Source organism: Homo sapiens, chromosome 1 (genome assembly GCF_000001405.40).
Source record: "Homo sapiens chromosome 1, GRCh38.p14 Primary Assembly".
Lineage (NCBI taxonomy): Eukaryota > Metazoa > Chordata > Mammalia > Primates > Hominidae > Homo > Homo sapiens.
Window position 1 is genome coordinate 117,956,226 of NC_000001.11, and position 15,069 is coordinate 117,971,294.

Below are 15,069 nucleotides of genomic sequence, written 5' to 3' on the forward strand. Positions count from 1 at the left end.
CAACATTTTGGGACACTTGAGACCAAAAGTTTGAGACCAGCCTGGGCACCATACTTTATTTTCTTTGTCATACATTTTTGCAATAATTGTTATATTATTTGTGATTTTCCTTTTGATTTTATTTATGAGTTTGAACTACTGAAGGCTATCATTTTCATAATGAACCACAATATCTACATATATATTCCTTACAAGAAACAACACTTGTCTTAGGATAAAGATGAAACTTCACTACAGGAATGTAAAAGAAAATTGATTAATGTGGAGGTTACAATACATTTCAAGATAGGAAGATTCTGTGTTTTAAAGATTTAACTTTTCCTAATTAATAGGTTTGTAATCCCATTTGATATCCTCTTAAGATTTTAAATTGGAATTGATGAAATAATAATACTTGAGCTAGTTCTAGAGGGAACTATTTTCCCAGATTAAAAGGCTACAAAATTAGCAAAATTAAAATAGTGTAGCATTGGTGTCAGGATCAATCATCATGTCAGGATCAGTCATCATAATAGACTCTAATGGACTCAATATATGGTAAAAGAATATCATATGAAGATGGAATATTCAACAAAAGGCTTTGGAGATATTGTTTATCTGGAAGGAAAAAAAGTTAGATTTTCCCATCATGCCATTGACCAAAATGCATTCCAAATAGATTAAGATATTAAATACAAAAAACAAAGAGAGTCATCTAGCTTACAGATGAATATTTAACTCTAGGCAAGATGTATCCAAGTATAAAATCAGTAGAAAAAATAATAAAGGGAAGGATTTAAAAATTGACCATGTTAACAACGTTAACAAATGTGGCATTTTTATATTTATTTTTTCTTTTTCAGTGAGCTGGAAGAATCTCTACTTGTGCTGCCTTTCTCTTATGTCCCAGACATTCTTAAACTCTTTAACGAATTCATTCAGCTGGGCTCTGATGTTGAACTTATATGCCGGTGCCTCTTCTTCCTCCTTAGGTAACATCCTTTTCCAAAGAATACCATGTCTGTTCAGCAGAACTGCTTCAGTAGTACCTTAACTGAAGCTGTCAACACTTTGGGATTAAGAAATAGTATGCCGAACTCGGTGGCTCACACCCGTAATCCCAGCACTTTGGGAGGCTGAGGTGGGTGGATTGCTTGAGCCCAGAAGTTTGCTACCAGCCCAAGCAATCAGTCTTGCCTTTAAAACAAGGATCATGATGACCCACCTCTTTAAGTAAGAAGTCATGGTAATACATTGCTCAGGAATGCTTACTCAGTCATAGGCCTCCATGTTACAATCTTAAGATAGCTCTGGTTCTAGTCAGTTTGCCAAAAGCCAATTATGATTGGCCAGTTTGCCTCATTTGTTGTTTCTTTTAAGCCAACCTTGTCCAGCCTGTGGCCCGCAGGCCACATGTGGCCCAGTATGGCTTTGAATGTGGCCCAACACAAATTTGTAAACTTTATTAAAACATTATGATTTTTTTGTGATTTCTTTGTTGTTGTTGTTCATCAGCTATCATTAGTGTATTTTATGTGTGGCCCGAGACGGTTCTTCCAGTGTGGCCCAGGGGAGCCAAAAGGATGGACATTCCTGTTTTAAAGTGTTTAGTGTAAGCTAACAGGTTTTGCTTTGTCCTTTACCAACATTTTAAGAAAGTCAGTTTATTTCTCTTGGTCTCTACAGGTGCAAATGGAAATGTAGGGGCATATATAGAGGTAAACTAAGGAACATAAAGCAAATATGTTCATTAGGCTATATTCTTACTTATGAAGATTCTGTTAATAGGTAGTTGAGAAGAATATATGCACAAAGGCTTGATATTCTTCTCATCTCTCACCCTCATTCTCAAGCGGTTACAGCAGAGAACAGGGATGGAGACAAATTGAACATTCCTTCAAATACTGTTATGAAGACAAAAACTGGTCAGCCAATGCCAAATAGTTAAACAGGTATATGTAGTGAACTGACCAAATAGGTATTTGGTGAATTGGCCTGGTTTTATGATTCTTAACCCTCCATTTCTTATACTCTATCCAGGATAGTAGCAAGAGAAGAAGAATAATATGTTCTGTTGCCATATTCATAATTTGGGGCAACTTGTAAAGACATAAGTTCATATTTAACCATGTTACTAACAATTTTTTTTTACTGCTATGGTATACGTGCTATTGAATTAGGGTTGCTGGTTCTACGAGTAACACTGTGAATACTTATAGCGTATCAGAGGCTTATGGATGGGTACTACCTGACAGGTATGGTAGGGTCATCAAGGATATCTTGGTACTCTAGGTCAGAGTTTGAATCTCACGAATGTCTCTTTTTTGCTGTGGCTTTATTAGAAGTATTAATGCATCTTTGTTAAGTTAGCATTTCTTAGAAGGCTCATTCTGTCTTTGAGTTTTCCTTAAAGTACCACTGTCAAAATCTGTAGCCACTGGCAGGTTGCTGGGCTGGAAGAAGAGCCTTTGCAAATGAGTTGAATGTGTCATAAGGTTTAGGACAGTATTTTTTAAGTTGTCATCAAATTGAACTGAATAGTAGAGAAAGAAACTTCTTTGGCTTTTTTTTTTTTTTTTGCTCGAAACATTTCTATAATGTATATTTTGTTGTTGCTTTGATATTGTGTCTGTTTACTGTTTCTAGAAGGGTTAAGTAGGGCTAGAACCTCTCTGCAACATGGCTGTGTTTTGTTTTTCTATCAGGATTCACTTTGGACAGATCACTAGCAATCAAATGCTTGTGCCAGTGATAGAAAAATTAAGGGAAACAACTATTTCAAAAGTCAGCCAAGTCCGGGTAAGTGTCTTTGTATAGAGATAAAATAATGAGGCAAATTCCTAGTGTGATTTAGAAATAGTATAGTATGCTGTGCTTTGTCTTTAGCAATACCCACCACCGATAAATCCATATTTGAGATAGTTTTTGTTAGAATTAGTAGGAATAGAAAAAACAAACAAGAAAAGTTCTTAATGAGGGAAAGATAAGTAACAACACCTGAAGCTTTGGTTACCCTAACTCTCATACGCTGCTATAATGAATTGAAGTGGGAGAAAATTTTTTAATATTTCTTGTATTGCACTCCAGGATGTTATCGGCTTCAATATGGCTGGTCTTGATTATCTCAAGAGGGAATGCGAGGCAAAAAGTGAAGTTATGTTTTTTGCTGATGCTACTAGCCACTTGGAAGAGAAGAAGAGGAAGAGGAAAAAGAGGGAGAAGTTGATTCTAACGTTGACTTAGAACTGAAATGTGGTATCTTTTTTTTTTTCAACTTTTTCCTTTAAAGGACTCCTAAACTAAGCACAGAAGAGTTGGCGTCATCTTAAAAATACCAAATAACAGAAGATCGCATTGCAGATGATATCAGGATGTGGTTTCCAGCTTTGCCTGAGGGAATTCCAACATGAGATTATGGGCTGGCTCCATTTCTTGGACTTAAAATGCATTATTAGTTTAAAAATCTTTCTGTGCTCTCAAAGCTTGAGCCTTGCAGCTCAAGCTTGTTGTTCCCTTTATATTCTAGCAGGGAATAAATAATTGTTTTAATTAGGTATTTGTTTCATTGGAGTTGAAATTAACATTTCAAAAGTTTTTCGTATTTTTTTATGGCAGATGATTTGTCATTTATTTATATTAGGTTTTACTGCCTATTGAGACAACCAGGTGCATAATTGATTGCCCTTTGGCCATAAAAATGCAGTGTCATGGATCTTAGAGCTAAAAAGGACTGTAAAAATTACCCAGAACAGCGTCCTCAGACTTAACCTTCTGCAAGTTATGTCTGTATATAAGAAGATTCTAATTGCTAACTGTTTATACTTTTCTGAATAAAATAGTTGTTTCTAATTAAAAAGTAGCCAAGCTAAGATGCCTGGCTGGGCTTCTGAGGAATTAATACACTCGTGTGTGTGTGTGTGTGTGTGTGTGTGTGTGTGTGTGTATGTGTATGTGTATGTACACATACATATATATAGTTGACACTTGAAAAATGCAGGTGGTAGGGGCACTGACCCACCCCTACGCCCCGCACAGTCAAAAATCTGCATATAACTTTTGATTCCCCAAAGTCTTAAGTACTAGTAGCCTGTTATTGACTGGGAGCCTGACTGATGTATTATATATATTGTATACTGTATTCTTAAAGTAAGCTAGAGAAAAGAAAATGTTACTTAGAAAATCATAAGGAAGAGAAAATATATTTACTGTGTTTATCAATACTATAAGTGTATGTCATCTGTTTATAAAATGAATTGTCTGTCTGGATTGGCAGGCAACCACAGCCGCAGACCTCAATCTGTGGTACTTATCAAGCATCAGCTTTTTCTTGTAATGTCATGACTTTTCTCTGCTTTTTGGGAGCACTGTGATATGCAGTTTACTGGGGCGATGAGTTGTTCATGCACAGGTGATTAGTGTCACAGCATTTTAAGTGCATACGCACAACACTTGAGCTCACTGCATAGCAACAGGAGGTGGCTGTGAAATTATTTCAGTAACATACTGTGTATTACAGTTCATTTTATGCAGCTATGATTTAATACTGCATCTTTACATTATTTTACATTTCTCCCAAAACTGTGAATTGCACCATGTATGATCTGTATTTGTGTGTGTTAATGTTGATAATAGATTTGCGTGTATTTTATGGCAGTAAATGATAAAATAGTCTAGTATCTACATATATTTTGTGCATTCATGATATAACTACTTTTTTCCTAATTTTTTTCATCTGAAACTTTTCTCATTGTTTCAGATCTCCAAAAATTTTTCCAATATATTTATTGAAAATATCTGGGCTGCGTGCAGTGGCTCACGCCTGTAATCCCACCACTGTGGGAGGCCGAGGCAGGCGGATCACAAGGTCAGGAGTTCCAGACCAGCCTGGCCAACATGGTGAAACCTCATCTCTACTAAAAATACAAAAAACTAGCTGGGCGTGGTGGCAGGCGCTTGTAATCCCAGCTACTCAGGAGGCTGAGACAGGAGAATCACTTGAACCCGGCAGGCGGAGATTGCAGTTAGCCAAGACAGTGCCACCAGCATTCCAGCCTGGGCAACACAGTGAGACTCCATCTCCAAAATAATAATAGTAAAAAAAAATCTGTATAACAGTGGAGCCAAGTGGTTAAAACCCATGTTCAACGGATTGTCTACTGTATATCTTCATGGTAAGGATTTGGGGAATGTTCTAGGAAAAGATATTGACAGATACCTCTGGGTCTGGGCTTTTCTTTTGGGGAAGTTTATAAATGACTAAATCATACTTCTTGTTACAGGCCTGTTTAGATGTTCTGTATCTTCTTGAGACAGTTTTGCTTTTTATCTTTTTTGTTGTTGTTAATCCCAAAGATTTAAAACTATGGTTTCTGTCTGAATTTGGTCATTGCAACCAAGTTACTGTGTTGTGGGGCCACCATTTTCTTCTAGGCTCAGATATGCAGTCCTTGTGGCTTGCCGATTTGTGTCCCAAACCACAAGTCTTAATGTTCTTGAGCATAACACAATCACTGAAGTGAGTAAGGGATGCAGTGGTGTTATTTGTTGGGCAGAATAAATAAGTGAATTTTGGCATAGAGTTTCTGAAGGCATAACTATGAAGGCAAGAGAATAGGCAGGCAGGATAATGCATTCTAGGTGCTTTCCAAGGAGTCAGTGTTGTTTAGGCAGCTATTCCTGCCACCAGGGAGAGGAGTTAATTCTTGAAAAAAAATTTAATTTTTTATGAGAACAGAAGTTGATTCAATATCCTTCTTAGAGTTGCTCATCAGAACATAAATGTCACTTTCTAGTAACATTTTTGATGGTTTCCAAACCAAAACAAGTTCCAGGAGGGCATTCGAGATGTATACATCATCAATAATTACTCTTATGTTAAAAGTTGCTGTTTTCCCGTAGCTTTGCCACCATTTATAACTCAAAAGCCTGATAGTGCTAGGGAATGTAAAGATGTTTCTGTCTGCTAAGTGTTATACTAATCGAAGAGAAGGAGAACTTTTATGATAAAGTGACATGTACAGAACCTAGCCAAGTTACAATTTTTGGTCAAAATACTTGAAACTCTTTAACTCTAAAAGTTTAAGGTCAATAGGTGCATTATAAAGTAAATTTTAAGCCAGGCAAATTTCTAGTCATTAAGTCAGTATTCATTGCCTTAGTCAGCCATTGGCTGTATATAATCCTTAATATAAAAACCATCTAATGACTAATATCTCTTGCATATTGTGAAGTAAGTTACCTATAGAAATTCTGTAGTACCATAAAGAAAAGCCTTTTGAGATTGCAGTGAGCTGAGATTGTGCCACTGCACTCCAGTCTGGGCAACAGAGCCAGACTCCATTGAAAAAAAAAAAAAAGGCTCTTGAATGATGTATTGGGAGTAAAACATTTAGGCTTATTTTTAAAAATGTATATATCCATCCACTTAGAGAAAATATGCTTAAAAATTTTGAAATTCACTGGCTGGAAGCTAGGTGCTTTGTATATTTGGTATTAAATTGTTTCTCAATGGCAAATGTCATAAATTATATCTCATTCTAAAGATATCTAGCAAATCTCCAGCAGAGATCTAGGACAGTGCCCAGGAAAGCAATGGTATCTGTTGGTAGGTACAGGACTGTATATAGGACTCTATTCACTTAGCTGTAAATGATGAGCCTGCTCAATGCAGCCTTTTCAGGCCAGATTAGTCTTCAGAAAGAGAGGGAGGTTGTGAGCAGAAGCTTAATGAAGAAACCACATTGGCTTACAGTTACTGTCTGCAATCCACCCCCATTCCTCACAATTTAAGCTCCTAAGTTTGAGATGGGGCTAAGGTTCTTAAAGGTAGTATCACCATATATTCAAGTCCTTTCTCTTTATTTCTGAGGTTTTTGGGATCCAAGCAGCCCTGGTATGTTTTTAGAACACAGTACACATTGTGTAACAGTCACTGAGCCCAACTCTTACATAGGGCCTGGCAGTGTTGCCCTTGTGTATCCCTTCCCCTTGAGTATGGGGTCGGACCTAGTGACTGGCTTCTAGTGAACAGAATACAGTAAATATAATGGGATGTGTCTTCCAAGATTAGGGTATAAAGCACTGAATTCTACCTTGCATGAGCATTACATTTTATAATATATATAAAGAAGCAACTAGTATAGTTATTTAAACAAATATTTTCTTTTTTTTTTTTTTTGAGACAGAGTCTCGCTCTGTCTCCCAGGCTGGAGTGCAGTGGCACGATCTTGGCTCACTGCAAGCTCCGCTTCCTGGGTTCACGCCATTCTCCTGCCTCAGCCTCCAGAGTAGCTGGGACTACAGGCACCCGCCACCACACTTGGCTGATTTTTTCTATTGTTTAGTAGAGACGGGGTTTCACCAAGTTAGCCAGGATGGTCTCGATCTCCTGACCTTGTGATCCACCCACCTCGGCCTCCCAAAGTGCTGGGATTACAGGTGTGAGCCACCGGGCCCGGCCTAAACAAATATTTTCATTCATTCAGGCCAGGTGGCTTATAGGTTTCTGACTATAAGAAGAGGGGAAGAAACCTGGGGTCTAATACCTCAAATTTGAATGCTTGACAATCAAATTCCCATTTATTACTTACTGTACCTAATGTGGAGAAACTTTACGAGACATGAAGACTCCAAGTGTGGAGGAATAAATTGTAGAAGTTCTCTGGACCATTGGATTTTCTTTTCCCTGGGGAAAGTCTTTTGGTCGTTTATCATAATTGCTGCTTGTTAAAACAGGTAAAATACTTGTTAAGGGCTGTGCTTTTCATGACTAAATTATTTGCATATATAAACCTAAATAACATTTTAGAATCATAGAATTTCTTCTCTGGCAACATCAGTTCAATTTTAGGTAACTGTCTATCCAATGCAAATTCTGCATGCTCAGGCTTGGGGGTTAGAGGATGGATATGCCAATGTCTAGAATGTCTTCTGTTCTCCCTAGTGTACATTTCTCTCCTAACTGTGACTGGCTTTCTATAAGGAGCCATCAGTATGGTCAAGCCCCAAACCATATCTACATCAGATTTCATGCTTTTTTTTTTTTTTTTTGGTGGGGAGAGGGACAGATCATTGTTGACACTGTAAGTAAGTAGATAAAAGATCTGATAAGATTTTTTGCCCTTTATCTGTGTCTGACAGGTTCTCTCTAATCTATAAGCAGGGAAATAGAAAATTTATTATAAATACAAATGATTTCATTGCTATGATCAGCAGCAGTGACTCAGGTATTTGCATCTAATAACCTGTGTGGAGAGGGTAAGGGCACTTGATTTAGTTACCAGAGGAAAAAACTAGTTCTTTGGCTAGTTTCCTTCTGTCACAATGGAAAAACCCTGTCATTACTCAAAGGAAGAGAAAAAGGGAGGGGAGGAAGGTGAGAGGAAGGGAGAGAGACTTTCCCAGTGAGGACTTTCCTTTCCTATTTTATATTTTGCTCCATTGTACTTACTGCCATCATTGTTTATGGTTTACTTACTTTATGTATTGTCTGTCCTCCCACTGGAATGTAAGCTACATAAAGGCAGGCGTTTCGGCATCTTTGAAAGCATAAATGAACAAATGAACTAAACTTCATTTATTGACATCAGTGCTATCTGACACAAGTTCCTTTAACTTTCTCCTTCACCTCGGAATATCTGAATCATCAGCTATCTTCAGCTTCTCCCTTGCCAAGACTAACCCTTCAGCTCTGTTTTTTATTATTCTTTTGCCCTGTTTTGGATATTGCAGTTTCAATCACTTCTACTCATTCATATTTTTAATATATATCTTCTGCTCCACTCTCTTCAGCCTACAAACATGTAGGTCTACATTAAACTGAAAATCCTTCCTATATTCTGTTGCATCCTTGAGTAACATATTCTCTTGCTCTTTCCTTTAATAAATTTTCTTGAAAGAATATCCATAACTAATGTTTCTGCTTTCTTAATACAGTCATTCTTTACCTTTTGCAATTTAGTTTTTATCCCAACCAAATTTAACACTTTAAATCTGAATTTTCTTTGACATCTCAATAGCATCCGTCAATTGTGTCCGTCTTTTCCTTGAAATTCTTCCTAAGGCTTTTGAAGTATTTCACCATTTTCTAATTGCTGCTTTTGTCTCCACTGGCTCTTCTTCCTCCTGCTCCCTAAACCGACTCCAGATTTCTGTTCCTTGCCCATACATTCAGCCATCACCTCTGTGTAAACGATGCTTAAAATTATTATATCTCCAATTCTGACTTCTCAGTTGAGATCTAATATTACATATACATGATTCATTACCTCAGCCCAAAACTTTGAAGTTGAACTCGATGTCCTCTTTCTTCCATCCATCAATGGCTTCTACCTCAGATTTTGCAGTTTCCTTCCCCCACCATGTCTTTCATTCATGTCCCTCTTTTATGTTGACTGTTCCCCCACTCCCAGTTCTTGTCCTCACACATGGCCCATTCAGGTAGACTTCTAATGGTACTTTTACACATCCAGTTGTTCCCCTTTGACATGTCCTGCACAATAACCCTGGATTCATCTTAATAAAGATATGCTGATCATGTCACCCACAGGGTCAGGAATCTGCAGTGGTTCACTGCTGCTTAAATAATAAAATTCAAGCCAAGGATTTAAGATCTTTCATAACTTGACTCCAACCTACTTTCCCACTATATTCCTAATACTCAAGCTTTTGGCAAGTTGAACTCCCTGCCAATCATCCCAAACACCTGGAGCTTTCCTGTTGCCATGGTTTTGTTCATTATTTTTACTTAAAGTTCCCGTCAATCAAGTTTTCACATTCTATAAGATCCAGCTCAAAAATCAAATAAATAGAGAACTGTAACACAAGCAGCACACAATTCATGCCACTGGAGAAAGTACAAAATAGAAATAAAATGTGAAGACTTTATTTCTGCTACAAATTATATAATACCTTTTAAGACAGAGTCCAATTATCCATTTTTATATATGATAAACTATTTTATACAGTACCTTGGAGGTAATAGGTTCTTGATATCTATCTAATATCTGTTTGGCTGAAGACACTGATAAGGAGGAATGCATGCATAATTCAGTGAATACCCAACCTTTATAATAATAAGGTATTTCCTATCCTTCCATAAAATTATAATTTTTTTGTGATAGATACTTGCTGTTTTATTATTCTGTCTGATATTCCGTAGATAGCCAATAACATTTACATTTATTCAATCTGAAGTTACTGCACATATACTATGTGTCAGGTATTTTTTTAGATTTGGCTAGGTGCTTTCAAAGATGAATGAAGATGCTCTTTGTCTTAATAAATTTAACTCTGATTTTGAAGATAGAATTAATAAAGTAGAGATGCATTTTGACTTCCATGTTTTCCTCACTCGTGTAATTTCTGCACTATATATGATTACTCAAGTTGAACTTTAAAGGATATTTGCTTCCACAGGTAGGAACAGAACCTCATGCTCTGTCATAATCTCGATATTGTGAGAGATGTGTGCTGATCCCTTGGCCCCATCCTCTCCAACAGCTGTGGCAAATAACTCTATATTCAGTTCTGTCTGCATACCAGCTGCCACCTATAAGACACAAGGTAGCTTTAGGACCAGACAACTCTGAGTTCAAACCTTGCTTTTAATAATATGAATTTGAGCAAGTTACTTAAACTCTCTTACCTTTGGTTTCTTCATCTATAAATTTGGCACTAACAAATGGTAGTTATTATAAGCATTTAGCGGAATTACTTCATAATGAAGGTAGAATTCCATTAAGTAAAGGGGAGCCAGGGTAAATTGTTGAAGGGGCAAACCAGGTGCTATTTAGGAAAAAGCATAAGGAAGCTAAATGCCAGGTTATTGGAAGTGGAACTGAAGGCAAAATTTTGCAATACTCCTAATTGTGCTAGTTTTTGAATGTCGGTAGTGACTTTCAGTAGTGAAATCTGCAATAGCGGCTACTGCAGACAAAGATAAATTTAATCTAATATAAATATAAATCAGGAGGCTGAGGCAGGAGAATTGCTTGAACGCAGGAGAATTGCTTGAACCCAGGAGGCAGAGGTTTCAGTGAGCCGAGATCGCGCCACTGCACTCCAGTCTGGTGACAGGGCAAAACTCCATCTCAAAAAAAAAAAAAAAAAAAAAAATTCATCTAACAGACTTGGTGACTACCATAACTTTCCTACCCTGTTCCTTGCAGGGGTGTCCAATATTTTGGCTTCCCTGGGCCACATTAGAAGAAGAAGTATTGTCTTGGGCCACACACAAAATATACTAACAATAACGACAGGTGATGAGTTTAAAAAAAAATCGCAAAAAAATCTCATCATGTTTTAAGAAAGTTTAGGAATTTGTGTTGGGCTGCATTCAAAGCCGTCCTGGGCCATGGGTTGGACAAATGTGACTTTAGGGTATTCCTAATGCAGGATGCATAAAATAATGAAACCAGTAGAGGGAGATAAAATTAGTTTAAATGCCCAACTGCTTAGTTTGAAAACCCGTGGAAGAGGATTGCACCAACAAAGAAGAAACCTGATACAGAAGGAAGAAGGAACACAGCAAGGCATGGGCGTCTTGCCTTGTTCTTTGAAAAGAACACTAGCCAGCAAAGAGAGAGCTATTTATGTTTCTAAGTTGCCTCTCCAGGAGGTGGGTTAAAAAGCAGACTTGGGAACAGTTATCTAGAAAAAAATAAATCTGAAACTACCACATGAAAAGCAATTAGATACAAATGGAATGTTTTCTTCAATATAGTTTTATAAATAGTAGAATTGGAAAATGTTTCACAGTTTTTTCAACAATGTACTTGTGAGCATATGCATACTGGAGGATATCCAGCAGCAGACCCTTCTCCTCCAAGTCCAGCAGTTGGAGCAGGGCTGGGTAATGATGAAATTCAGCATGAAGAGAGCTGGAATACTGCCATCATACAGGTTTGCCCAGGCTTTGAGCAGATTCATTTAGTGTTGGCAACTAACCAAGCTGAACGGTGGTTAGATTTACATATGGGGAAGTCTACAGATTATATTTTTTTTGCCAGAGCCAAAACCTACTATCAAAAACTTAAAAAAATAAACTAAAAAAACCTTATGGTATAGAGTGAGCTTCAAAGACTACGTGCTGGGTTTTTAGTACCTATAAAAGTTGATCCAACAGCCATTTTGGCTTTTGGCATAATCCCTACTTTAAATTAAAATGAGATTTGCTAACTTCCCAGAACAGTGGAAGAAGGGCTTGTTTTGATTTTTGTCTTTTGCTTTATGTTGTGAAGGTTCTGAAATCTTGACACAGTACAGTGATGAATTACTTCAGGAGAGTACTCATGAATTAGTGGATATAATCCCAAAATGTTTCTGTTTGGAGTTTCAGCCTGTATAATACTGTTTTCTATAGAGCATATTACAGCTAGAAGGGGCTAAGAAATAATCTGGTCTGAACTTTACAGATGAGGAAAACAAGGCTCAGAGCATTAACTGAACTGCTTGATGGCATAGTCGTGACAAGAAGCCAACTGACTTGGTGCTACACCAAACCAACCCTTCTGTGTGAGCCTATAACTGGGGCTGCTTTAAGAGCTTCAGACTCAGGGAGCATTGGGTGCTTGTTAACAGGACTGGATACTTTTGTGCACTGTTCTCACAGGCCTATGCACTCTTCGCATCTGTGATGAATGGGTCATACATCTGCCAGACTAACTCACTTCATTCTGTCATTCAATCACACCTCTCTTGAGTACCCACTATGTGCCTGGCTCTGTAAGCTGCTTACGTGTCTTACTCATTTTTAACATCCTCTGCGCCCTGACCACTTTAAATGGCATATGGGAGGAACTCAAAATTTGCTGAGTGAAGTATGAAGTAAAAGGGGTGTTAAAGCAGTCAGATGATGCACTGATAAAGACAAATGTGACTTTATTTAAGATGAACTTACGTTTACATCATCCTATATTTCTGAAATTATAATTTAAAGTGAGAATATGCTATTAATATGCATTTTTTTTTACTAAACATGCCATTTTGGAGGATGTATCAAATAAAGTCAGAACAGGTTGACATTTTGTATTTTGTATTTTCAGAGATCTTTGGAGAAATGAGGCAATTGATGAGTTTAATAAATACGATTTCTTGGTTGGGCGCAGTGGCTCATGCATGTAATCCCAGCACTTTGAGAGGCCAAGGCGGGTGGATAGAGAGGCCAAGAGTTCGAGACCAGCCTGACTAGCATGGTGAAACCCTGTCTCTACTAAAAATACAAAAATTAGCCGGACGTGGTGGCATGCGCCTGTAATCCCAGCTACTCAGGAGGCTGAGGCAGGAGAAGTGCTTGCACCCAGGAGGCAGAGGTTGCAGTGAGCTGAGATCATGCCATTGCACTCTGACCTGGGTGACAGAGTGAGGCTCTGTCTCAAAATAAATAAATAAATAAATATAAATAAACAAATATGATTTCTTAGTATGGCATTAAATAATATTCTCTGACAAATACCAAGAGAGCAAACCAGATTTACGTAAAATATGAAGAACGGAATAATTATTTTTCACTTCGCATAAGGATTTACTTTTTGAAAAGGTAGTTTTTATACAATGGTAAATAACTGTAATATTGGGACAAGTGAGGTGAGCTTCAGAATTGTTTCTATAGCTGGCAGTTTAACTCTGTTTATGCATTGGATTGGTCTCATGGTTACTACATGGAATGAATGCCATCAAGCCACATACTGTATCACTACGAGAAATCTTTTGCTTATGATATTAAAAACAGTAGACTTATACATAGTTTAAAAGGAATGGGCAGAATGGTTTCAAAGCCCACTTCACTGGAAACCTATACATAGTCACTTGCATGCACGCAAGCACACACAACAGATGACATATAGGACTTACAGGTCCAGGTTTGTAAGTCACTTTCAGTCCTGTGCTGGGTGGGGGCTGCTTTACTTTAAACCTACAAGGCAGAAAGATAAAAATAAATTTATGACATAATGAAACCCATGAGCAATGAATAAGCTGGGATGTTATAAAATAAGGAAGGTGTTAATATTTGCTACACAGGAGCCGGGGGTCCATACCATTAGAAAAACAACTTTAATATTCAATTGGGAGAAGAATCTGGGGCCCATTTCACAACTGCCTTTCCAACAGTTTTCATCAGCGTAAAACGGGCTCCAACCTGAGTTTCAACCCTTTGTTACTGGTTGCTGACGAGCAGCCCAGGCTTGGGCAGTGGGACTGTTTGGCTGGTGCGTGCATTTCAGCGTAGCTGCCAGCATGAACGCAAATGCTGGCAGCCGGGTCATTAAGTTGAAGAATAAAGGCTCTTTTGGAAGGCAGTGGAGCATGGGAGCCAGCCTTGCTCTGTCTTGGTATGGGGTTTGCATGTTTGAGGAGAGGAGAAACAGAAAGGCTCAGAAGATGTCGAAGAACTTGAAAAGCTCCGAGCTCACACATGGTGCTTATTGATCTCTCTCCCTTCCTGTGGTTTGTGGGGTCTGCTTGAAGGTTAAAGACCTGGAGTAAATTAAAATGCCAAGGAAAGCCTGCCTCCACTCTGACCCCAACACTGCTTCTTCCTCCATCAACCTTGCTGTCTGCTCTATCGTGGCTGAATTAACAAGCTGAGGAGTGAAATCTCCAAAACTAAAATTTTATACTGGAGCGACAGGACCCGCACGAATGAGTTTTATTAGTTCGAGGTTGACTGTCTATTTCTTCCCACCCACTTTGTTGGCAACAACCTAAAAAACAATCGTGTGATTTGGTGGCCTGAGTTCCACATCAGATTGTTTCTCAGGAAGCAAAGGTTATTCCTGAAGCTGGGGATTTGCCTCAACTGAAATAACTGAAATGGGACAGGGATCTTTCAAACTGGATGCTTCTATCGTTTTTTTTTTATCTGATTTCCAATCATCAATCCAGAATCACAAACATTCTTGAAGGACTTACCACTCAACTCTGAAAATGGCTGCAACTGAAATAAACATATATTCCATTTTAATGGAAGTAATACCCATGCTTATGTTTAATTCAAGATACAATAGTGGACATTTTGTAATTGGGAATGGTTTGGTAGAGGTATATGGTTTACCGATCCAATGGAAAGGTTTGAAATTTCACACAAAACAA

General features: G+C 37.9%; 2 protein-coding genes across 16 annotated transcripts in view; one reads left to right on the forward strand and one right to left on the reverse strand.

The window, feature by feature from the left end:
• Positions 1–10,318, forward strand: part of WDR3 (WD repeat domain 3) — a 36,805-nt gene extending 26,487 nt beyond the window's left edge. Inside the window, exons 25-27 of the mRNA NM_006784.3 lie at positions 843–971; positions 2,685–2,778; positions 3,067–10,318. Of these exons, the coding sequence (NP_006775.1) occupies positions 843–971; positions 2,685–2,778; positions 3,067–3,222 (379 nt within the window). The 3' untranslated portion in view covers positions 3,223–10,318. The remainder of the gene's footprint in view (positions 1–842; positions 972–2,684; positions 2,779–3,066) is intronic.
• The window catches only part of SPAG17 (sperm associated antigen 17), a 231,639-nt gene that overhangs the window by 2,636 nt on the left and 213,934 nt on the right, over positions 1–15,069 (reverse strand). For 14 of the 15 annotated variants that reach the window (XR_946574.2, XM_006710427.4, XM_006710426.4 and 11 more), the window contains 3 exons: positions 13,831–13,891; positions 10,384–10,528; positions 7,574–7,713 (listed from right to left, as the gene is read on the reverse strand). Coding sequence is in view for 14 of the 15 variants with exons in the window: in XM_006710427.4 (XP_006710490.1) it covers positions 7,574–7,713; positions 10,384–10,528; positions 13,831–13,891 (346 nt within the window). In the remaining variant the exon portion in view is untranslated. Of the gene's footprint in view, positions 1–7,568; positions 7,714–10,383; positions 10,529–13,830; positions 13,892–15,069 lie in introns of those variants that run through there. The other variant, XM_047448722.1, reaches the window with a different exon arrangement.